Raw genomic sequence first — 21302 nt, forward strand, 5'->3', positions numbered from 1 at the left:
TTCACACCTGGAGCCCCAACCCCAGAGAAGCTAGAGCCCCACTCAGGACCCCACAGGCAGCTGCAGTGACAGACCCTTCCTCCATCACCCATCGGAGAAATCCACCCAGCAAGTGCATCCTGAGGGCCTACTGTGTGCTACAGGGTACTGTGGAGAAAACATTTCCCCACAGAGGGGAAACTGAGGCCCAGGGAGGGAAAGCAGTAACCCCTCCCCAGTGGGTGTGGGGCAGAGTGAGAAACAGATCAGACCCCACAGCAGCAAGTGTGCCTGCACCCCGCCACCCCTTCTTCCTCGAGCCCAGCCCCCCAGGCCCCAACTTACCTTGTCCACTTCATCATTCCAGAGCTGTGGAGACGGCAGCAGGAGTGGCCAGCAGGGGAGGGGAGAGGAGGACAGCTGGACCCTAGAGCCTGTGCCCTGCCCCAGCTCCCAGACTCAACTTCTGCCCCCCTGCCCCTCTGCCCCCCCTCCCAAACAGGAGCTGAGACTGGGCCGAGGCCCGGCATGGGAGCTGGGGGCTGGCGGTCCCAGTCCCTCTAACATGCCTCATGCAGGAGGGGAGCAGCCAGCAGGAGTCCTGCTTATATTTCTCCTACAGTGTCAGCCCCATTCTCTGAGTGGGGTCTCAAGAGAGACGGAGTGTCCCCACCCCATCCTGACTGCTGGCTCAGGCTGCTGGGCTGGGCGGCAGAACTGTGTGACCCTGGGCCAGTCACTGAAGCTTTCTGTCCTCTGGCAGAGAAAGGTGGCCTCGTGCTTGAGTCACACTGGGACTCAATGGCAAAAGAAAAACAGGGCAGTCTCCACCCTCTAGGATGTTTCTCCTTCCACTGGGCACAGGGAGGAGGCGGGAAGTGGCATCCAGACCCTGAAGAAGAAAGACGCTGCCCGGCCACGACCAGGAGACCCAGCGCTCCTGCCGCTTCCGGAGATCTGACCCGAGACAACAGCCTGAAATAGGGAATGCGGACCCAGGCCAGTGTGCGTGGCCGGCCCGTGTGGCCCCCATGCTGCTTAGGAAGTCCCCGTCCAGGAGCACTGGAAGTTGCTGTGAGAGCCAACTAGGGTTGGCGGCCTGAGGGACAGTCACCCAGCCACAGAACGACGGCACGGAAGACATGAGGCAGCATGCTCACGAGAGAGGTGAGGGTCTCACCTCCAGGGGCGGGAAGGAGAGAAAGTGGGCAGACAAGGTGTAGCAGTGGTGACAAGCATGAGGGAGAGGTGTGGCCTAGTCCCCAAACTACATAGGAAACACCAGACTTCCCAAGAAAGCCTAAAAACCAACAGACACCATGACATGCGAAGCCTCCACGATCCTGTCCTCCCCACCTCCTGCCCCAACTCCCCTGGGGGCCCTGCCTAAGCCTCAGGACAAGACATGCCCTGCTCCAGGACCTCTGGGCCTTAAGCACAGCCTCAGGCCCTCCCGCCCCCCAGGCGCTCTCCAGGCCTACGACGCCATCCCTGCCTCCTGTCTTTAGGGGTCTGTGAACTCCAGAAAGGCACGGCCAGGCCTCCTCCTCTATCCTCAGGGCCTCCCCAGGGCCTGGCATTCAGAGACAGCAGGAGGTGGAGGGGCCCTGGGGATGGGACAGCTGCCGCCCTGAGTTCTCCACACTACTCAGTGTGGCTGGCCCTGCCGCCAGCTCCAGCGTTTTGCAGAGGGAAACAAGTCCAGCTCCATGGCCACAGGGCACCGGGGCCAGGCCGTGGACAGAGGTGGGGGCTGCTGCCCCTCCCCAGTGTCTCAGGACTGACCTGATCACATGGCAGTGCCCCCGCCTTACCCAAGCTGGCTTCTAGCTCCTGTGCAGTCAGAGGCAGTGGTGTGGGACGTGGGGAGAGAGGAGGACGAGGGGTGGGGTGGGGGTGGGGTGCGCTTACCGCGGAGGCGCTGGCCGAGAGAATGTAATTACGAGGTCTAGTCTCCTGAAAGTCAGGCACCGTCTGGCGGGGAACAGAGTTCATGTGGGGAGGGGGTCACCCTGGGCCAGGGCCAGGGTCGAGGTCAGGAGGCTACCCCAGAGTCTTGCACAAGGAGATGCCAAGAGGCCTGACCCCAGGGACGGGGATACAAACACAACACAAACCCCCTTCTCCCGACTCCAACCACCTGGAGATGAGGGGCCTAGGGACTTGGAGAGTCCAGACAAAGATCAAGTGGCTGCAGGCACTGGAGCTCAGGAGAGCAAATGCGGTGAGGAGATGGCCGAGGCTGCCTGAGCAAGTCACAGGCTGGGCTCTCCCCTGCCAGGGGCCACAGCCCCCTCCTCCCCAGACCAGTGGCACTCAGATGCCCCAGGGTCCCGCAAACACAGCCCACCCCCAACTGGGATGGCTTTTTCCATCCCAGAATCCGCACACCACATCTCTTGCTCCTGCATCAAGGGCCAGGCCCCTCCCGACAATGAAGGTGGACAGATGGATGCATGGGCAGACAGAGTGACAGGCGTCCAACATTTGCAAAAAGCTGACTCACAGGCCCCAACGCCTGGCATCCCCCCCTAAACCAGAGGCCCTGCACAGTAGAGGCTCTGGCGGGGAGACCAGCTGCTTGCAAAATGCCCCAAGGACGTGGGCTGGCCATGGCACCGTGGGTCCACGGGCAAGATGGGCAGACCGGAAGCAGCACAGCGCGTGGGACAGGTATACTCACATCTCCCTCACACTGAGCCAAGTTACCCAAAGCAGGACGGAAAGGAACAAAAACAAAGAGTTAGTGAGTCCACAGCGCAGGCAGGAGCAGGCCCCCCAGGCCCCAGTGGGAGGGGACACCAGGCGGTCGGGCGGAGGGAGGCACCACAGCCTGCCCTCCTGAAGAGTCCTAACGTGTGCGTGCTTATGGGGACAGAGCTGTGGAGCTTGAGTCCTCTGGAATGCTGTTCCTGGGGCTGCCCAAGTCCTAGCTCTGGAAAGGTGGCCTGGCCCAACCCCAGGATGTGAGGTTGTCCAGGCCCACCAGGTGAGGGAGAGGCCACACCACTGCAATGACAGGAAAGGCTCCTCTGGCCTGGCTGATGGAGAGAGTGTGTTCTGGCTGAGTTACTCCAGAGACGGTGTCTGGCCCGAAGTGACGGGGGAGACTGTCCTGTTCAGGTGCCTTAGAAGAGGTCATCCCAATAGGCACAGGTCACCCTAGCCAACCCCAAGATTGAAACAACTACACCCCTGCCTCTGATCTAGACCCCACACACTTGAGTGACCTGAGACGGTTCTCGCCAGGGGCAGTGCTGGCTCTGGGGCCACACTATGGGAGGGGAACGCAAGGTGCATGGGCAGCTGTGAGCCCAGGCTAGGCCTGGCCTCCCTCGGCTAATCAGCTGGCAGCCACAGGTAGCCATCTCCCTAGTAGGCCTGGGCCTGGGAGTTCCCTCTGCAAGGTATGAGGCAGCCTTTAGGCCTGGCAGCCCTGAGCAACCTCTTGTGCCAGGAGGGTGTTCACCCTTGGGCCCAGCTCCTCCAATCCTGGCCTCGCCCTGGGCACACTGTCCCAGGCTGCGTCCCATTGACCCAGCCAGGCTGAACAGGCCTCAGTGAGCTGGGAGTGAAGGGGGCGCCAGATGGCCCAGGCCCTATCCAATCTCATGGGACCCCTCGGACACGGCCCTGAGCAAGCGGGCGGTCCAGCTCCCAGGTTTTCCACACCATCGTGGGGGCGCCTGAGCACAGGGACCCTCGGCCTGACGTTCAAGCAGCAAGTAGTAGAGTTAGTAAGAAGGTGCCATGCCCGGGCAGAGCCGGGGACAGAGCCGAGCATCTAGGAGGGCAGGGCAGGGCATGCAGGAGACTCCAGCTGCCTGGCGGGGTGGTGCACCCAGCTGGGGGCACTGCTGGTCCGCCCACACCGTAGATATCTCCCTGGGAACCAGAGCTCGGGGGCCACCAAGGCTCCCTTGAGGGCAGGGACAGAGAGGCTCAGCCCAGCAGCCCCCAGCCAGGCATCTCCAGCCAGGGAGAGGGGAGAGAGGTCATGCCAAATACCAGGTCCCTTCATGCCACCACCCCTTGGCTCCAGCCAGAGCCTGGGCCAGGAGGCCAGCGGGGAGCGGGGACACCTACCGTGGCTTTGGCTTCTGCAGCCTTGGCCTTCTTCAGCCTCGCTTTGCAGGCATCCAAGTCCAGACGCCGGTTTTGGAGGAGCCGCCTCTCCTTCTACAGGGCAGGGCATGGGGACAGTGAGACCCTGGGCTGCCCTGGGAGACCCTGAGCCATGCATGGCAAGATTGGTGCCGGGGACGATCAAGTCAAGATAGGGAAACTGAGGCCCAGAGATAGGAGGTCACTCAGTCCAAAGGAGCCCTCTCTGGGGAGGCCTCAGGAGTTTTGTAGCCCCAGCACTGGAAGAGAGCCTGTACTCAAAGGCTCTGAGGAGGGAACTGCCATGGTTACCAGGAAGCGGAATAGTCCCAGGGCCCTCACCGAGATGGTCTTCCAGTCCCCCTCCAGGAAGTTGCGCAAGGGTGTGAGGAAGCTGATGGAGGCCGTGTGGATAAAATCCCTCTCCGCGGCTCCCAGTTGCTTTTCAGCTTCTGCCACCTTGATCAGTGTCTTCCCTGAGAAAACAGAGTTGAAGCGTGAGGAAGAAGGTCAGGCTCAGGCTACTCTGATCTACAGGAGAGGGCTCAGGAAGAGCTTGCTGAAGAGCAAGGGCCGGGGTGCTCAGTGCAGAATGCTTTGCCTGGGAAAAAGCAGAAGCAACCTACACTACACCATCAACTGGGAACTAACAAATAAACAATGGGACAGCCAAAATATGGAACACAATGCAGCCATTATAAAGATCGGGGTTAGACTTCCAGAATGTCAGAGAAAGGAGCTCAACAAATCCCCTCCCAAAAAAAGTAACAATAAAACTGGACACCACGCCAGGTGCGGTGGCTCACACCTATAATCCTAGCACTCTGGGAGGCCGAGACGGGAGGATCACTTGAGCTCGGCAGTTCCAGACCACCCTGGGCAACATAGGGAGACCTTATCTCTTTGAAAATAAAACAAATTGAAAGAAAACTGGACACAATTGTCAAAAACATCCATTTCTGGACTCTGCAAATTGACCAAGGCAAAAAACAAATTGAAAAGCATTTAATCAAGAAAAACTACTGGGCTGGATGCTGTGGCTCACACCTGTAATCTCAGCACTTTGGAAAACCAAGGTGGGCAGACTGCTTGAACCCAGCTGTTCAAGACCAGCCCGGGCAACATGGCAAAACCTTGTCTTTATAAAAAATAAATAGAAAATCATAAGAAAAATGAGCAGCGCCTCAGCACCTACGGGGCACTGTCAAGTGAACCAACATATGACTAACAAGAGTCCCAGAAGAGGAGGAGAAAATAAGGCAGAAAAAATATGTGAAGAAACAATAAGAGGCTGGGCGCGCTGGCTCACACCTGTAATCCCAATACTCTGGGAGGCCCAGGCGGAAGGATCATTTGAACCCAGGAGTTTGAGGCTATAGTAGTAAGCTATGATTGCACCACTGCACTCCAGTCTGGGTGACACAGCAAGATCCTGTCTTTAAAAAAAAGAAAAGAAAAGAAAAAACATGGTTTGATTCATCACATACAAGAGAGCTAAAATAAGATGAATTGTCTTCTCATTAGAAACAATAGAAGCCAGACAGCAGTAAGATAATATATTCAAAGTAAAGAAAAAATTGTTCATCCAGGAATTCTATATATAGCAAAACAATCCTTCAAAAGTGAAGGCAAGGCCGGGCGCAGTGGCTCACGCCTGTAATTCTAGCACTTTGGGAGGCTAAAGTGGGTGGGTCACTTGAGGTCAGGAGTTCGAGACCAACCTGGACAACATGGCAAAACCTCGTCTCTACTAAAAATACAAAAATTAGCTGGGTGTGGTGGTGTGCATCTGTAATTCCAGCTACTTGGGAGACTGAGGCAGGAGAATTGCTTGAACCCAGGAGGCAGAGGTTGCAGTGAGCCAACGTCACACCACTGTACTCCAGCCTGGGCAACAAGAGCAAGACTGTCTTTAAAAAAAAAAAAAAAAAAAAAAAAAAAAAAAGATACGGCCGGGTGCGGTGGCTCACACCTGTAATCCCAGCACTTTGGAAGGCTGAGGCAGGCGGATCATGAGGTCAGGAGTTCAAGACCAGCCTAACCAACTTGGTGAAACCTGTCTCTACTAAAAATACAAAAATTAGCCAGGCGTGGTGGCAAGCACCTGTAATCCCAGCTACTCAGGAGGCTGAGGTAGGATAATCGCTTGAAACCGGGAGGTGGAGGTCGCAGTGAACCAAGATCGCACCACTGCACTCCCGCCTGGGTGACAGAAAAAAAAAAAAATCCAAAGATACACTTTAAATTTAAAGACATGAATGGGCTGAAAAAAGTACACCATGTATGCAGTAACCACGAGAGAGTTAACGTGGCTATACTACTACCAGACAAAATAGACTTTAACACAAAATAGTACTAGAGACAAAGAATAGTATTTTATAATGAAAGAGTCAATTCATCAGGAAGATGCACAAATATAAACATACAGACCTAAGACAGTTCCAAAATACATAAGGCAAACACTGACAAAGAGAGAAATAAGATAATTCAACAGTAATAGTTGGAAACTTGAATACTCTGCTCTTTTTTTTTTTTTTTTTTTTTGGTCTCACTCTGTCTCCCAGGCTGGAGTGCAGTGGCGCGCTCTTGGCTCGCTGCAACCTACGCCTCCCGGGTTCCAGCAATTCTCCTGCCTCAGCCTCCCAAGTAGCTGGGACTATAGGCGCGCACCAGCATGCCCAGCTAATTTTTTTGTATTTTTAGTAGAGACAGGATTTCACCATGTTGGCCAGGCTGGTCTTGAACTCCTGACCTCAGGTGATCCAACCACTTTGACCTCCCAAAGTGGCGGGATTACAGGTGTGAGCCACCATGCCCAGCCTCAATAGTCTACTCTTGATAATGAATAGGACAAGACAAAATCAGCAAGGACATACAAGCCTTGAACACTATTAACCGATGTGGCCTCGCTGACACCTATACAGCACTGCACCCTCAACAGCATAATATCACATCTTCTCAAGTGAACCTAGGACATTCCCCAGATAGACCATATACTAGGTCATGAAACAAGTCTCAATAAATTTAAAAGGATTAAAACAATAAAAATATGAGGCTGGGTGTGCTGGCTCATGCCTGTAATCCCAGCACTTTGGGAGGCTAAGGCAGGCGGATCACTTGAGATCAGGAGTTTGAGACCAGCCTGGCCAACATGGTGAGACCCCCATCTCTATTAAAAATACAAAAAATACGCCGGGTGTGATGGCTCACACCTGTAATCCCAGCACTCTGGGAGGCCAAGGTGGGTGGATCACGAGGTCAGGAGATCGACTATCCTGGCTAACACGGTGAAATCCCGTCTCCACTGAAAAAAAAAAAAATTAGCCTGGCATGGTGGCAGGTGCCTGTAGTCCCAGCTACTTGGGAGGCTGAGGCAGGAGAATGGCATGAACACGAGAGGCGGAGGTTGCAGTGAGCCGAGATCGTGCCACTGCACTCCAGCCTGGGCGACAGAGCGAGATTCCGTCTCAAACAAAAAAAAAAAAAAAAAAAATTAGCTGGGTGTGATTATAGGTGCGTGATGGTGCGTGCCTGTAATCTCAGCTACTCAGAAGGCTGAGAGGCTGAGGTGGAGGATCCCTTGAACCTGGGAAGTGGAGCTTGCAGTGAGCCCAGATGGCACCATTGCACTCCAGCCTGGGCGACAGAGCGAGACTCCATCTCAAAATAATAATAATACTAACATAGCACGACATGTTCATACATTCTCTGATCGCAGTGGAATTAAGTTAAAAGCAACAATAGAAGAAAACCCAGAAAATCCACAAATATCTGAAAATGAAACAACACACTACTGACAGGAATAAAAAAATCATACAGCTACTTTGGAAAACAGTTTGGCAACTTCTTAAAAAGTTAAATTAAATTGGCTGGGCGCAGTGGCTCACGCCTGTAATCCCAGCACTTTGGGAGGCCAAGGCGGGCGGATCACAAGGTCAGGAGTTCAAGACCAGCCTGGCCAACATGGTGAGACCCCGTCTCTACTAAAAACACAAAAAATTAGCTGGGCATGGTGGCGGGTGCCTGTAATCCCAGCGACTTGGAAGGCTGAGGCAAGAGAATTGCTTGAACCCAGGAGGCGGAGGTTGCAGTGAGCCAAGATTGCGCCACTGCACTCCAGCCTAGGTGACAGAGAGAGACTCCGTCTCAAAAAAAAAAAAAAGAGTTAAGTTAAATTTACCTGAGGCCAGGCACAGTGGCTATGCCTGTAATCCCAGCACTTTGGGAGGCCGAGGCGGGTGGATCACGAGGTCAGGAGTTCAAGACCAGCCTGGCCAAGATGGTGAAACCTCATCTCTACTAAAAATACAAAAAATTAGCCGAGCGTGGTGGCAGGCGCCTGTAGTCCAGCTACTCGGGAGGCTGAGGCAGGAGAATGGCATGAACCCGGGAGGAGGAGCTTGCAGTGAGTCGAGATTGTGCCACTGCACTCCAGCCTGGGTGACAGAGTGAGACTCCATCTCAAAAAAAAAAAAAAAATTATGTTAGGTAAAAGCAGCTAAATGCAAGAAACAACATGTCATATGATTCCATTTATATAAAATGTTCAGAAAAAATGAACTTATAGGGACCGAAAACACGTTAGTGGTTGGCTGGCTGGAGGTGAAAATGGGGCTTGACAATAGACATGAAGGACTTTTGGGGTGTGATGGAAATGTTCTTTAAATTAGACTGTGGGCCGGGCACGGTGGCACACTCCTGTAATCCCAGCACTTTGGGAGGCCAAGGTGGGAGGTCACTTCAGCTTAGGAGTTTGAGATCAGCCTGGGCAACATAGCGAGATCCCCATCTCTACAGAAAAATATAAAAATTAGAAGGGCATGGTGGTGGACACCTGTAATCCCAGCTAATCAGGAGGCTGAGGTGGAAGGATGCCTTCAGCCCAAAAGGCAGAGGTTGCAGTGAGCTGAGATTGCACCACTGCAATCCAGCCTGGGGGACAGAGCCAGACCCTGTCTCAAAAAAGGTAACAGAAAATAAAAAATAAATAAGTTTGGCTGGGCGCAGTTGCTCACGCCTGTTATCCCAGCACTTTGGGAGGCTGAGGCGGGTGGATCACCGGAGGTCAGGAGATCGAGACCTGCCTGGATAACATGGTGAAACCCGGTCTCTGCTAAAAATACAAAAATTAGCTGGGAGTGGTGGTGGGCGTGTGCAATCCTAGCTCCTTGGGTAGCTGAGGGAGGACCCGGGATGCTTGAACCCAGGAGGCAGAGGTTGCAGTGAGCTGAGATTGCGCCACCGCACTCCAGCCTGGGTGACAGAGTGAGACTCTGCCTCAAAAAAAAAAAAAAAAAAAAAGTTAGATTGTGGAGATGTTTGTACAACTCTGTAAATTTACTAAAAATCATTGAATTATACACTTAAACACATAATATATAGCTTATACTTGGATAAAATTTTAAAATGAAAAAAAAAAGATGGATATGGTTCTATAAATGCTTCAGTGAAAAGATACCTGTAATATGATGTCAAGTTAAAAAGTCAGGTTCCAGCCGGGTGCGGTGGCTCATGCCCGTAATCCCAGCACTTTGGGAGGCCATGGCGGGCAGATCACTTGAGGTCAGGAGTTGGAAACCAGCCTGGCCAACATGGTAAAACACCGTCTCTACTAAAAATACAAAAAAGTTAGCCAGGTGTGCTGGTGGGCACATGGAATCCCAGCTACTTGGGAGGCTGAGGCAGGAGAATTGCTTGAACCCAGGAGGCGGAGGTTGCAGTGAGCTGAGATTGCGCCACTGCACTCCAGCCCGGACAACAGAGCAAAACTCCATCTCCAAAAAAAAAAAAAAAAAAAAAAAAAAGTCAGGTTCCCAGATAGCACACAATATGATTCCATTAAAAAATACACACAAATAGGCCAGGTGCGGTGGCTCACACCTGTAATCCCAGCACTTTGGGAGGCTGAGGCAGGCGGATCACTTGAGGTCAGGAGTTTGAGAACAGCCTGGTCAACATGGTGAAACCCTGCCTCTACTAAAAACACAAAAATTAGCTGGGTGTGGTGGCGGGCTCCTGTAGTCCCAGCTACTCGGGAGGCTGAGGCAGGAGAATCACTTGAACCTGGGAGGCAGGGGCGTTGCAGTGAGCTGAGATCGCACCACCGCACTCCAGCCTGGGTGATGGAGTGAAACTGTGTCTCAAAAAAAAAAAAATAGGCCGGGCGCGGTGGCTCACGCCTGTAATCCCAGCAGTTTTCGAGGCATAGGCGGGCAGATCACGAGGTCAGGAGATCGAGACCATCCTGGCTAACATGGTGAAACCTCGTCTCTACTAAAAAATACAAAAAAAATTAGCCAGGCGTGGTCACGGGCGCCTGTAGTCCCAGCTACTTGGGAGGCTGAGGCAGGAGAACGGCGGGAACCCAGGAGGTGGAGCTTGCAGTGAGCCGAGATCACGCCACTGCACTCTAGCCTGGGCGACAGAGCGAGACTCCATCTCAAAAAAAAACAAAAACAAAACACACACACACACACAAACCAAAACTGGTTAAGAGAAGATTCCATTTTTTACTCTTTTTTTCTGCGTAGAGTTTTTACATTTAGAATGAATTCAGGTATTATTTGTATAATTATTTTTTTAAGTAAAAAAAAGGAAGGGAGGGAGGGAGAATCAGAGCTAAAGACCATGACCCCTAGTCCCTGGCTGTGAGGCCTGCTCACCATAGGGGGTGGTCGGCCCCAGCTCACTGGCCGCGTCTGCCATGTACTGAGCCAGCAGCTCCCCGTTGGTGACCCTTGAGGGGACCTTCCTGTCCAGCTTCTCATACAGGAACTCCTCCACTCGGGCACCTGTGGGGAGACAGCAGCCAAAGCCACAGGGCTCCTTAGTTCAAGCCCAAAAATGAAACAGAAACAGACCCAGACCCGGCCCTGCCCACAGGTGCACCTGGCCTGCTGACTTCCAGAATACGCTCTTGCTCATGCCCAACCCTGAGACTGTTGTGATTGACCCAGCACTATACAGAGGAGGAAGCCAGGGCCCGTCCACTTCTCCCTTATTAATATGATTACAGACCATAATACATGCTTGCACAATTCTCTGCTCCTGGCACCCAAAAGTTATCTGGCCCCTCAATGAGCCACAGAGCAGATTTACAGGCAGACACACAGCACGACCCGGAGCCACCCTCCTTTCCCCGGAAGTCCTGCAGGTCGCTTCTGCTTGACCTTGGGGGCCTGCCTGGGTGTGCTCCGGGCAGTCCCTTCATCTCTGGGCCTTGCTGACCTCTTGAAAGTGACCAGGTTGGGACGGACACGGTGGCTCCTGCCTATAATCCCAGCACTTTGGGAGGCCAAGGCGGGTGGATCATTTGAGGTCAGGAGTTCAAGACCAGCCTGGCCAACATGGTGAAACCCCTTCTCTACTAAAAATACAAAAATTAGCTGGGCGTGGTGGCATGTGCCTGTAGTCCCAGCTATTCAGGAGGCTGAGGCAGGAGAATCGCTTGAACCCAGGAGGCAAGGGTTGCAGTGAGCCAAGATTGCACCATTGCACTCCAGAATGGGTGACAGAGCAAGACTCCACCTCAAAAAAAAAAAAAAAAAAACCAACAGAGTGACCAACCAGGTGTGTGTTTTGCCTGCCTCTTCTCCCACGTGTGTTTTAGCTTCCAGGCATTTTAACTCTTCTGTGCAAAACTCAGTGTTTCCACTGCCCTGGAGTGTCTGGCAGCCCAACACAGAGTCCCCCATTTTCTTTTAACTGTCCCTCTTCAACAGCCTTGAGCCCAAGAGTCTAGCTGAAACCCCGGCTGCAGCCCCGCCCCACCTATGCCACAACAGGGCCAGGCCTCCTACTGTATCCCTGCCCCACGACTACATCCCTCCCCGGGCCCACGAACACGCACTCACTGGGGTTGGGCTGCAGCAGCACCTCTGTCTGCCTCAAGATCTTCTCTGTCCAGTTCTTGGTGCTGTCTGCCCGGGCCAGAAGGTTTTCAAAGTGGGCATCAAGCTCAGTCTTCTCAGCCTGGCCAAATTTCTCCTCCGTGAACTACGCAGAGGGGAAGGCCAAGGGGTGGGGAGGGGGAGAGCTCAGAAGGAGGTGGGGGAGTGGTGGGGAAAGGGAGGACTGCCCCTCCCCACCAGCAGGAACCCAGGCAGGCCCCAGGGTCAAGGAACCAGCCCTGAGTGTGATACTGTGTGACCTGGCAGGGCCTCACTGTTTTCCCCTTTGTGAAATGAGGTGGCTGGGCCAGAGTGTGGGAATCACAGCTTCTTTTGGAAATCCAATGAAAGCTACACTCTCTCCCCACAAAAATGCACCTTCATATACAATCTGGCACACAGCTTAGTGCGGTGAGGAACCCTGGGGAGGCCAGCCCTAGGGTCCTTTGAGTCTGACTCTGAAGGAGAGGACTTGGTAGAAAGTACTCGGGACAAACAGGGCAGGGAGTAGGGTCTGGGGTTATCAGGGGGCTCCATGGGCAGCTGGGAGCTGCTAGGGAGAGGGTGCCAGAGGAGGGAGAGGAAGAACCCAGGGTCGGGGTTCAGAAGGACCTGATTCAAGTCTTAGTTCTGCCACTGTCAAGATGTGTGACTTTGGGCAAGGGGCTCTGCCTCTCTGAGCATTGGTTTCCTGAGCTGAAAAAAGGGAATAATAGCACCTCCCCCATAGGTTATGAGGATGAAAGAGGAAAGATGTGGGTTAGACATAAAGGCTGGGTCGGCTACAGTGCTGCTGCCCCACGTAAGGCACCGGTGCTATGAGCTGATGGGTGCAGAGACGTCTGGGAAGGAAGGGGAATGCAGGGAGGGAGGATGGCCAAACGGTTGGCTTTGGCCACCTGGTAGGGTAGATGGAAACACTGCCAGCCTATCAGAGCCAGCGGCTGGGCACACCCAGGGCCCGGATGTCGCATGGGTCCCCATCAAAGCTGGCAGAAGCCGTGGGGGCTACCTAGGAACAACCAGAAACTGGTCCAAGTCCTGGCCCCTCTGATCTAAGAGGGCCCTGGAACACATGTCCCCATTTTCCAAACGGGGACACCAAGGCCTTCTCTAGCTAAGAGAAAGGGCTTGCCCAAGGTCACAGCCAGGGTGAAGACCTGCAGGAGTAAGATAAGGAACAACAAACACTGTTGGCCAGCCCTGTCCTAAGGGTTTCCTCATGACCTCATCAACCTCTAATGCAAGGAGGGCTGTTTCCCATTTCACAGATGCTGCCACTGAGGCTGAGCAAGGGGCAGGGCCACGCAGGAGTCGGTCAGCCATGAATCATCCCTGGCTGCAGTTGGCTCCAGCTGCGGTGGGGGGTGGCGGGCTGGGCGGCCACCAGGAGCTCAGCAGCCATCAATTATGTAGCAGAGCTTGGGTTTCTCCCTGCAGGGCTGGGAGGGCCCAGCTGCCAGGGGTATGGCCTCAGCTCCTGCCTGGGGCCAGCTGCTCCTGGCCTCCCTCCCCCACCCTGGCTGGCTCTGCCTCCTCTTCCTCGTCACACTCCCCAAAATGAGACCTTCCAGAGCAGAGGCTCAGATTTCCTCGTGGCTCTATTACCTCACCCAGTCCTTTGAGGGGGGTGGCGTTCACCCCATTTCCCAAATGAGGAAACCAAGGCTCGAAGAGGCAAAGTCTCCCTTCTGGACCTGAGAGCCCCTGCCTGGAGAATGCAGATAACAGGATCTAGTTCATTGGCTATTTGGCCAGCACACAGTATGGGGCTGATACATGTTAGCTAGTATTATTATCACCATCATTAATGAAAAGCCTTGGCTAGGTGCAGTGGCTCATGCCTATAATCCCAGCACTTTGGAAGGCCGATGTGGGCAGATGGATTGAGCCCAGGAGTTCAAGACCAGCCTGGGCAACCGTGAGACCTCCTCTCTACAAAAAAAAAAAAAAAAAAAAAAAAGCCCGGCACGGTGGCTTATGCCTATAATCCCAGCACTTTGGGAGGCCAAGGCAGGCGGATCACGAGGTCAGGAGATCGAGACCATCCTGGCTAGCAAGGTGAAACCCCTTCTCTACTAAAAATACAAAAAATTAGCCGGGTGTGGTGGCGGGCACGTGTAGACCCAGTAACTCGGGAGGCTGAGGCAGGAGAATGGCATGAACCTGGGAGGCGGAGCTTGCAATGAGCATCGCCCCACTGCACTCCAGCCTGGGCCACAGAGTGCGACTCAGTCTCAAAAAAAAAAAAAAAAATTAGCTGGGCGTGGTGGCACCCACCTGTAGTCCCAGCTACTCAAGGGGCTGAGGTGGGAGCCCAGGAGGCGGAGGTTGCAATGAGCCAATATCATGTCACTGCACTCCAGCCTGGGTGACAGACCAAGAACCTGCCTTAAAAAAAGAAAGACTTTGGGAGGCCGAGGTGGGCGGATCACGAGGTCAGGAGATCAAGACCATCCTGGCTAACACGGTGAAACCCCATCTCTACTAAAAATACAAAAAATTAGCCAAGCGTGGTGGCAGGCGCCTGTAATCCCAGCTACTCGGGAGGCTGAGCCAGGAGAATGGCATCAACCTGGGAGGTGGAGCTTGCAGTGAGCCGAGATCACGCCACTGCACTCCAGCCTGGGTGACAGAGCGAGACTCCATCTCAAAAAAAAAAAAAGACAGCAAGGAAGCCAGGCATGGTGGCTCACGCCTGTAATCCCAGCACTTTGGGAGGCCAAGGCAGGTGAATCACGTGAGGTCAGGAGTTCGAGACCAGCCTGGCTAACATAGTAAAACCCCATCTCTACTAAAAATACAAGAATTAGCATGACGTGGTGGTGGGCGCCTGTAATCCCACCTACTCGGGAGGCTGAGGCAGGAGAATTGCTTGAACCGGGGAGGCGGAGGCTGCAGTGAGCTGAGACTGCGCCAGCCTGCGTGACAGAGTGACTCCGTCTCAAAAAAAAAAAAAAAAAGGCCAGGCATGGTGGCTCATACCTGTAATATCAGCACTTTGGGAGGCCGAGGCAGGAGGATCACTTGAGCCCAGGAGTTTGAGACCAGCCTGGCCAACGTGGTGAAACCCTGTCTCTACTAAGTACAAAAAAAAAATTAGCCAGGAGTGGTGGCAGGTGCCTATAATCCCAGTTACTCGGGAGGCTGAGGCAGAAGAATCACTTGAACCTGAAAGGTGGAGGTTGCAGTGAGCCGAGATTGTGCCACTGCACTCCAGCCTCGGCGACAGGATGAGACTCTGTCTCAAAAAAAAAAAAGGAAGGAAAGAAGAAAGGAGAGAGGGACTAAGGGAGGAAGGAAGGAAGGCAGGCAGGCAGGCAGGCAGGCAGGCAGGCCTCCCTCACATCCCTCCTCAGCTCTCAGGAGCTACCCTGATGGTACCAAGGGCATCACCCTAAATGTGCACCTCAACACCTCCCCTCCTTACCAAGGTTCAGAGCAGCACTCCCCACCCCGCCCTCCCTTACAGGCCACATCTGCCCAGGTGAGAAGTTCTACCAGGCTTTCCCAAACTAGACGGCATCCATCCCATGTCCACTGCAGTCTGCCTAGCTCCATGATGACGATGCCACCACCTCTCTGGACTTTATAAGTATTACTTCTACCACTACTATTACTGTTACTGCAATTACTACTAATAGTATTAGTACTATCACTCCTCCTGCCCTCTCCCACCCCCACTGGCATCTTGTCCAAATCTGCCTTAGGTTTTCTTGCCTCGGTGCCCTTATCTGGGCTGCTCCTGCCACTTGGACCAACATCATGAGCCCCTCCCTACTTTCTGAGCACAGTTCAGGGGCCCTCCATGCAGGAGACCATCCCAGAATGACCCATACAAAAGGGATCCTGCCCTCTGGATCCTCATCTCAGGGCCAAGGCCTTGTTCCTTGCTGGATCGGGGAGGCTCTTAAAGTTGTTTCTTGTACCTGCAGGGACTGGGAGGTTCCTGAGCCCATCACATGTATTGATCATAAAGAACCCCTCTCCCATCCCTCCTGACTGTCTCCCATCCAGGCCAGCTTGGTCTCAGGCGGAGCCCCTCTGTGGCCTCTCCTGCCAGGTCACATTTCAGGCCTCTCTATCCCCTGGCCTGCCACTCTGCCCCAATCCTGCCAAGAGGAAGGGGTTTGGTGCTGGAGTCCGAGGCTGCTCCCGGGAAAATGGCAGCAGTGGGGTGGGCGTGCAGAGCAGAGAAAGCCTCTATTTATAAAGCTCTCAGCTCCCTCCCTCCCACCCCGAGGCTGGGGCCTGACTGCTGGCTCCCACTCCAGTAACAGTGACCCTGTGGGGCAGCTCCCACCAAGCGGAGCCACACCTAGGCCCTGCCCTGCCTAGGTCCTGAGAGCCCTGGCCAGGTCAGGCAGCAGGGCCCCAGCCCTAGCAGGGAACTGGCAGATCAGGTTCTTCCCAGATGTGGGAGATAGTGTGGTTGCCATACCAACAGCAGAGTGGGTTCCCCCCTCCCAGATGGACTGGGGCCGTCCAATCCGAGGGGCTCTGGGATCCTGGCATCTCCACTAGGGCTGGGGCTGCCCACCAGACTTGGAACACATTAAGCAGTGAATTCTCGCTGGGATGCTAATCCTCAGCGGGACACAGCACCTTCTAGTAAACATGACTACATGGGTTGCTGGCTGGGTGTGGGCTCCTGGGGAGGGGAGTGCCCGGGTTGGGGGTGGGGAGAGAACTGTACTCAACAGAAACAACAACGATGACAACGACAACGACAAAGACAAGACTACAGGACCTGCTCCCAGAACCCTGGGATGGGCCAGCCCCGGGCCTGCGGAATCCCACTGAATCCCATAACCACGGTGTTACACCAGATTTACAGAAGGGGAGGGCGGGGCTCTGAGAGAAGTGACTTGTCCAAGGTCACATGCTGCACAGGTGCAATATTAACCACTTTGACACCAATAATGAGCTTGCCTTTGGTGAGCACACATATGCAGAGTCCCACAGAATCCTCGCATCTGTCCTGGGAGGCAGGAATACTGATCCCATTTTTCAGACTGAGAAACTGAGGCCCAGTGAGATGAAGGCCCCTCCCCCAAGGTCACAGGAGGGCACATTCCCACCCACACCTGACCCTAGGTCTTCCCATGATGTTGAGTTGCCTGTTACTCTCTGCCCCTAAACGGATAGGACTTCTTCCAATCTCAGCATCGTGGGCCTGGACAGCTTCCCAGCCAGACCCCAGCCCTCTCTCCATCCCCCAGGCCCAGGGACCAAGGAAACAGACCTCCCGTGGAGCAGAAAAGAAACAACTCCTGGCTTCCGGCCTGACTATCCAAACGTGTGAAATGGCCATGAGGGACTCATGGCACCAGCCGCCCATTGCACAGGTGCGGAGACTGAGGCTCGGAGAAGGGGTTGTGGTGGACGCATGAGTCCCTGGGCCTGGGACCCAGGTCGCTAAATGCCCCGCCAGGCGCCAGTCACTGCTGGACAAGGGCAGGGAGGTAGCACCCAGCCGGTGCCTCCTCCCCTCCTCAGCCAGGCAGGCGCCAGGGGAGCAGGGTAACCCAACCAGCCCAAAGGGTGGGCACCGGTGCCTCGCCCCAGGCAGCAGGGCCAAGGCCCGGCTCGGGCCGCACGGGCTCTTTCCCTCTTCCGGTCAGCAAGGGCTCAGGGGGGCAGAGGTGTGCCGCGGCGGGGACGAGGGCAGCAGCCCGGGAGGGCTTTCCCGCGTCCCCAGGCGTCTGCCGCAGGGTGCTCCCCGCCCGCCGCACATCCGGGCCCCCGGCGCACGGCGCGACGCCAGGCCTCACCTGCACCGCCCGGGTGAAGAAGATGCCCGCGTCCGACGCCAGCTTCTTCATGTTGAAGTCCATGGCGTGCCCGCACGGCCGCCGCGCACGGCCCGAGCGCAGCCGGCAGCCCCCGGCCCAGCCGCCGCCGCCAACCGCACCCCGCCCACCTGCTGCGGGGCACCAGCCCTCCGCGCACCCGCCTGCCGGCCTGCCCGCCTGCCCGCCCGCCGCAGCCGCCGAGCCAGCCCGAGCGCGCAGGGCGGGGCGCGGAGGCCGCGGGTCGGAGCCAGAGGGGCGGGGGCGGAGCTGGCGGTGCCGGGGCGGGACGGGACGGCAGTGGGGCGGAGCTAGAGGGGCGGGGGCCGGGCTGGTTGGCGGAAGCCGGGCGGAGTCGGAGGGGGCGGGACTGGCGGGACAGGGGCGGAGCGAGAGGGCAGTGGGGCGGAGCTACATGGGTGGGGGCGAGGCCTTGGCGCGGCCAGAGCGGGGGTTGGTCTGGGGAGCAGGTTGTGCTGGGCAGGGCTCGCTGCTGGGCAGTGCTCGCTGCTGCCCCCATGCGCCTGCCGCCGCGGATTGGGCCGGCCTCTTTTTTTCCTTTTACTAAAATTATTAAAACTGGAACACATGTGCTCTTAGATGATTGCAGGTACACGCCATAATTACATATTATTTGCCATCTTACCAATGCTTTTCAAAAGTTTTAATTGATAAATATATATTTACGGCCTACAAGGTGATGAAATTGTGGAATGATGAAATCAAGTTAATTGACATATCCATCACCTCACCTACTTTTTTTGTGGTTAGAACATTTCAAATGTACTCTTTTAGCAATTTTGAAATATGCAATACTTTTTTTTTTTTTTTGTAGACAGAGTCTTGCTCTGTCGCCCAGGCTGGAGTGCAGTGGCGCGATCTCGGCTCACTGCAGCCTCCACCTGCCGGGCTCAAGCGATTCTCCTGCTTCATTCAGCCTCCCGAGTAGCTGGGACTACAGGCGCCCACCAACATGCCCCGCTAATTTTTTGTACTTTAGGAGAGACAAGGTTTTGCCATGTTGCCCAGGGTGGTCTTGAACTCCTGATCTCAGGCAATCTGCCTGCCTCAGTCTCCCAAAGTCACTAAGTGACTGAGTAGTCACCAATATGTGCAACAGATCTCTAAAATGGGCCTCTCTTGCTTTCTCCTCCCACCACCCAGGCCTGCTGCCTCTCCCCTGTTTGTGCCTCTTCATCTCCGCTCTTTATTCACACCCCCTCCCTCCCATTCCCATTTCTTCCACTCTGTTTCCCTTGGGTTTCCTCCCGTTACTCCTCCTCTCTGACCTCTCCTCCTCTCTTCTGCCCTGACCTTGGTGACTGAGCCGGAGTCAGGCTTGGGACTTGCCCTCCACCGCTGGAACAGCTGTTTGTCAGCCTGGGAGGCCCTGTGGCTTCCCCAAATTGGAGGAGGGTTGGGGTGGCGGTCACGGGAAGGGAGGGGGTTCTGGAGCTGGGGCCTGGAGCCCCCTGTGTGGTGAGAGGAGGAGATCAAAGGTTGGGTGACTGTCAGGGTGGAGAGAATGAGCTGCCCTGGGAGCACAGATGTGTGATAACCTTGAAACCAGCTCCTCACAGCCCCAGGCAAGGAGATGACCTACAGGTGCTCCTGACCCCAAATGCCTTCCCTTGGGGCTCAGATAGAGGCTTTGTACTGGTCTTCACCTCTCCTTGCTGTCTACCTCTAGGTTTCCTCTTTTTTTTTTTTTTTCTTTTTGAGATGGAGTCTCGCTCTTTCACCCAGGCTGGAATGCAGTGGCACCATCTCAGCTCACTGCAGCCACCGCCTCCCGGGGTCTAAGCGATTCTCCTGCCTCACCCTCCACAGTAGCTGGGATTACAGGCATGTGCCACCACGCCCGGCTGATTTTTGTATTTTTAGTAGAGACGGGGTTTCACCATGTTGGTCAGGCTGGTCTTGAACTCCTGACCTCGTGATCCACCTGCCTCCGCCTCCCAAAGTGCTGGGATTACAGGTGTGAGCCACCACGCCCGGCCTAGGTTTCACCTTTGAACCCAGTGGAGAGCTCTGTTCCCAAGCTGTACCCTCTTCTATCTGGCTTTGTTCATCTTTCTATACTTACCCCAGTTTCTGTCACCTATCCCAGCATGGCTCTGCAGGGTGAGCCTCAAGTCACCTGGGGGCTTGTTCAAAATCCAGACCCTGTTCCCTCTCCCAGCCCTGGTTCTGGGTCAACAAGTCAATGGCTCTAACATTAAATCACCTGGGAGCTTTCAAAACTCCACCTACCTGGGCCATCCTGTCATGTACTTGGGCCAGTATGTACATGTTGCCTTCATCAACTTTCATGTCATTCACACATCTGCAATCCCTCAACTCTGATTCTCTGTGTTTCTGTTTTTGTGTTCACTATGTGTTTGTTTCTATTTGTCTGTATTGATCATGGACTTATTTACTATCATCTGTTTATAGCTGACTATATCATTCATTTAGCCAGTGTTAACTTTAAAAAAATCTAGTCAGGCATGGTGGCTCATACATGTAATCCCAGGAGGCCAAGGCGGGCGAATCACCTGAGATCAGGAGTTCAAGACCAGCTGACCAAGATAGAGAAACTCTGTCTCTACTAAAAATACAAAATTAGCCAGGCGTGCTGGCGCATGCCTATAATCCCAGCTACTTGGGAGGCTGAGGCAGGAGAATCGCTTGAACCCGGGAGGCAGAGGTTGCGGTCAGCTGAGATAGCGCCATTGCACTCCAGCCTGGGCAACAAGAGAGAAACTCCATCTCAAAAAAAAAAAAAAAAAAAAAAAAAAGAAATCAAGATGTAGGCCAGGTGCGGTGGCAAACGCCTGTAATCCCAGCACTCTGGGAGGCCGAGGCAGGCGGATCACCTGAGGTCAGGAGTTCGAGACCAGCCTGGACAACATGGTGAAACCCCATCTCTACTAAAAATACCAAAAATTAGCTGGGCGTGGTGGTGTAGGCCTGTAGTTCCAGCTACTAGGGAGGATGAGGCAGGAGAATAGCTTGGACCGAGGAGGCAGAGGTTGCAGTGAGACGAGGTCACGCCATTGCACTCCAGCCTGGGCAACAGGAACGAAACTCCGGCCAGGCATGGTGGCCCACACGTGTAATCCCAGCACTTTGGGAGGCCAAAGCGGGTGGATCACGAGGTCAGGAGTTCAAGACCAGCCTGGCCAAGATGGTGAAACTCCTTCTCTACTGAAAATCCAAAAATTAGCCAGGCGAGGTGGTGTGCATCTGTAGTCCCAGCTACAAGGGAGGCTGAGGCAGGAGAATAGCTTGAATCCAGAAGGCAGAGGTTGCAGTGAGCCGAGATCATGCCACTGCACTCCAGCCTAGGCTACAGAGCGAGACTCCTCCTCAAAAAAAAGGAAAAAAAAAAGTGAAACTCGATCTCAAAAAAAAAAAAATCAAGATGTATACATTTAAAGAAGGAAAGAAGATTTTATTTCTTATAAAAGGGTACAGACTGCAAGGTGACCATCCCACAAATTGGGAAGCATGCCTGTGACAGAGGCAGGAGGCAGAGAAATACTAGGCAGACAGG

The 21302-nt window shown here is 54.4% G+C and overlaps 1 protein-coding gene across 16 annotated transcripts in view, besides 14 other annotated features; it reads right to left on the bottom strand.

Moving 5' to 3' along the window:
- SH3GLB2 (SH3 domain containing GRB2 like, endophilin B2) overlaps positions 1–17986 on the bottom strand; it is a 21296-nt gene extending 3310 nt beyond the window's left edge. For 3 of the 16 annotated variants that reach the window (XM_006717191.2, NM_001287045.2, NM_001369914.1), the window contains exons 1-8: positions 17747–17986; positions 11937–12078; positions 10746–10874; positions 4426–4559; positions 4066–4158; positions 2663–2674; positions 1891–1953; positions 325–348 (exon numbers count right to left, since the gene is read on the bottom strand). In XM_006717191.2, coding sequence (XP_006717254.1) covers positions 325–348; positions 1891–1953; positions 2663–2674; positions 4066–4158; positions 4426–4559; positions 10746–10874; positions 11937–12078; positions 17747–17809 — 660 coding nt within the window. In that variant the 5' untranslated portion in view covers positions 17810–17986. Of the gene's footprint in view, positions 1–324; positions 421–1890; positions 1954–2662; positions 2675–4065; positions 4159–4425; positions 4560–5394; positions 5515–10745; positions 10875–11936; positions 12079–17217 lie in introns of those variants that run through there. The other 13 variants (NM_020145.4, NM_001438435.1, NM_001287046.2 and 10 more) reach the window with 8 other exon arrangements.
- Positions 1055–1965: an enhancer, noted in NCBI's record as "H3K4me1 hESC enhancer chr9:131773679-131774589 (GRCh37/hg19 assembly coordinates)". NCBI's record gives its function as "activates a minimal SCP1, AML or CMV promoter by ChIP-STARR-seq in naive and primed H9 embryonic stem cells {active_cell/tissue: H9 hESC(naive and primed)}" and the evidence as "EXISTENCE:reporter gene assay evidence [ECO:0000049][PMID:30033119]".
- Positions 12197–13004: an enhancer, noted in NCBI's record as "H3K27ac-H3K4me1 hESC enhancer chr9:131784821-131785628 (GRCh37/hg19 assembly coordinates)". NCBI's record gives its function as "activates a minimal SCP1, AML or CMV promoter by ChIP-STARR-seq in primed H9 embryonic stem cells {active_cell/tissue: H9 hESC(primed)}" and the evidence as "EXISTENCE:reporter gene assay evidence [ECO:0000049][PMID:30033119]".
- Positions 13005–13812: an enhancer, noted in NCBI's record as "H3K27ac-H3K4me1 hESC enhancer chr9:131785629-131786436 (GRCh37/hg19 assembly coordinates)". NCBI's record gives its function as "activates a minimal SCP1, AML or CMV promoter by ChIP-STARR-seq in naive and primed H9 embryonic stem cells {active_cell/tissue: H9 hESC(naive and primed)}" and the evidence as "EXISTENCE:reporter gene assay evidence [ECO:0000049][PMID:30033119]".
- Positions 15847–16410: an enhancer, noted in NCBI's record as "H3K4me1 hESC enhancer chr9:131788471-131789034 (GRCh37/hg19 assembly coordinates)". NCBI's record gives its function as "activates a minimal SCP1, AML or CMV promoter by ChIP-STARR-seq in primed H9 embryonic stem cells {active_cell/tissue: H9 hESC(primed)}" and the evidence as "EXISTENCE:reporter gene assay evidence [ECO:0000049][PMID:30033119]".
- Positions 15847–16974: a biological region, named in NCBI's record as "H3K4me1 hESC enhancers GRCh37_chr9:131788471-131789034 and GRCh37_chr9:131789035-131789598".
- Positions 16255–16486: a silencer, noted in NCBI's record as "fragment chr9:131788879-131789110 (GRCh37/hg19 assembly coordinates)". NCBI's record gives its function as "represses an EF-1alpha promoter that drives an FKBP-Casp9 reporter gene in an ReSE screen in HepG2 liver carcinoma cells {active_cell/tissue: HepG2}" and the evidence as "EXISTENCE:reporter gene assay evidence [ECO:0000049][PMID:32094911]".
- Positions 16411–16974: an enhancer, noted in NCBI's record as "H3K4me1 hESC enhancer chr9:131789035-131789598 (GRCh37/hg19 assembly coordinates)". NCBI's record gives its function as "activates a minimal SCP1, AML or CMV promoter by ChIP-STARR-seq in primed H9 embryonic stem cells {active_cell/tissue: H9 hESC(primed)}" and the evidence as "EXISTENCE:reporter gene assay evidence [ECO:0000049][PMID:30033119]".
- Positions 16975–17538: an enhancer, noted in NCBI's record as "H3K27ac-H3K4me1 hESC enhancer chr9:131789599-131790162 (GRCh37/hg19 assembly coordinates)". NCBI's record gives its function as "activates a minimal SCP1, AML or CMV promoter by ChIP-STARR-seq in primed H9 embryonic stem cells {active_cell/tissue: H9 hESC(primed)}" and the evidence as "EXISTENCE:reporter gene assay evidence [ECO:0000049][PMID:30033119]".
- Positions 16975–17878: a biological region, named in NCBI's record as "H3K27ac-H3K4me1 hESC enhancer GRCh37_chr9:131789599-131790162".
- Positions 17369–17878: a silencer, noted in NCBI's record as "silent region_20356". NCBI's record gives its function as "represses an Ori minimal core promoter by ATAC-STARR-seq in GM12878 lymphoblastoid cells {active_cell/tissue: GM12878}" and the evidence as "EXISTENCE:reporter gene assay evidence [ECO:0000049][PMID:35858748]".
- Positions 17919–18348: a silencer, noted in NCBI's record as "silent region_20357". NCBI's record gives its function as "represses an Ori minimal core promoter by ATAC-STARR-seq in GM12878 lymphoblastoid cells {active_cell/tissue: GM12878}" and the evidence as "EXISTENCE:reporter gene assay evidence [ECO:0000049][PMID:35858748]".
- Positions 17919–18962: a biological region, named in NCBI's record as "H3K4me1 hESC enhancer GRCh37_chr9:131790847-131791586".
- Positions 18223–18962: an enhancer, noted in NCBI's record as "H3K4me1 hESC enhancer chr9:131790847-131791586 (GRCh37/hg19 assembly coordinates)". NCBI's record gives its function as "activates a minimal SCP1, AML or CMV promoter by ChIP-STARR-seq in primed H9 embryonic stem cells {active_cell/tissue: H9 hESC(primed)}" and the evidence as "EXISTENCE:reporter gene assay evidence [ECO:0000049][PMID:30033119]".
- Positions 18963–19702: an enhancer, noted in NCBI's record as "H3K4me1 hESC enhancer chr9:131791587-131792326 (GRCh37/hg19 assembly coordinates)". NCBI's record gives its function as "activates a minimal SCP1, AML or CMV promoter by ChIP-STARR-seq in naive H9 embryonic stem cells {active_cell/tissue: H9 hESC(naive)}" and the evidence as "EXISTENCE:reporter gene assay evidence [ECO:0000049][PMID:30033119]".

The sequence above is a fragment of the Homo sapiens genome, chromosome 9 (genome assembly GCF_000001405.40).
Source record: "Homo sapiens chromosome 9, GRCh38.p14 Primary Assembly".
In the NCBI taxonomy this organism is placed as follows: Eukaryota; Metazoa; Chordata; class Mammalia; order Primates; family Hominidae; genus Homo; species Homo sapiens.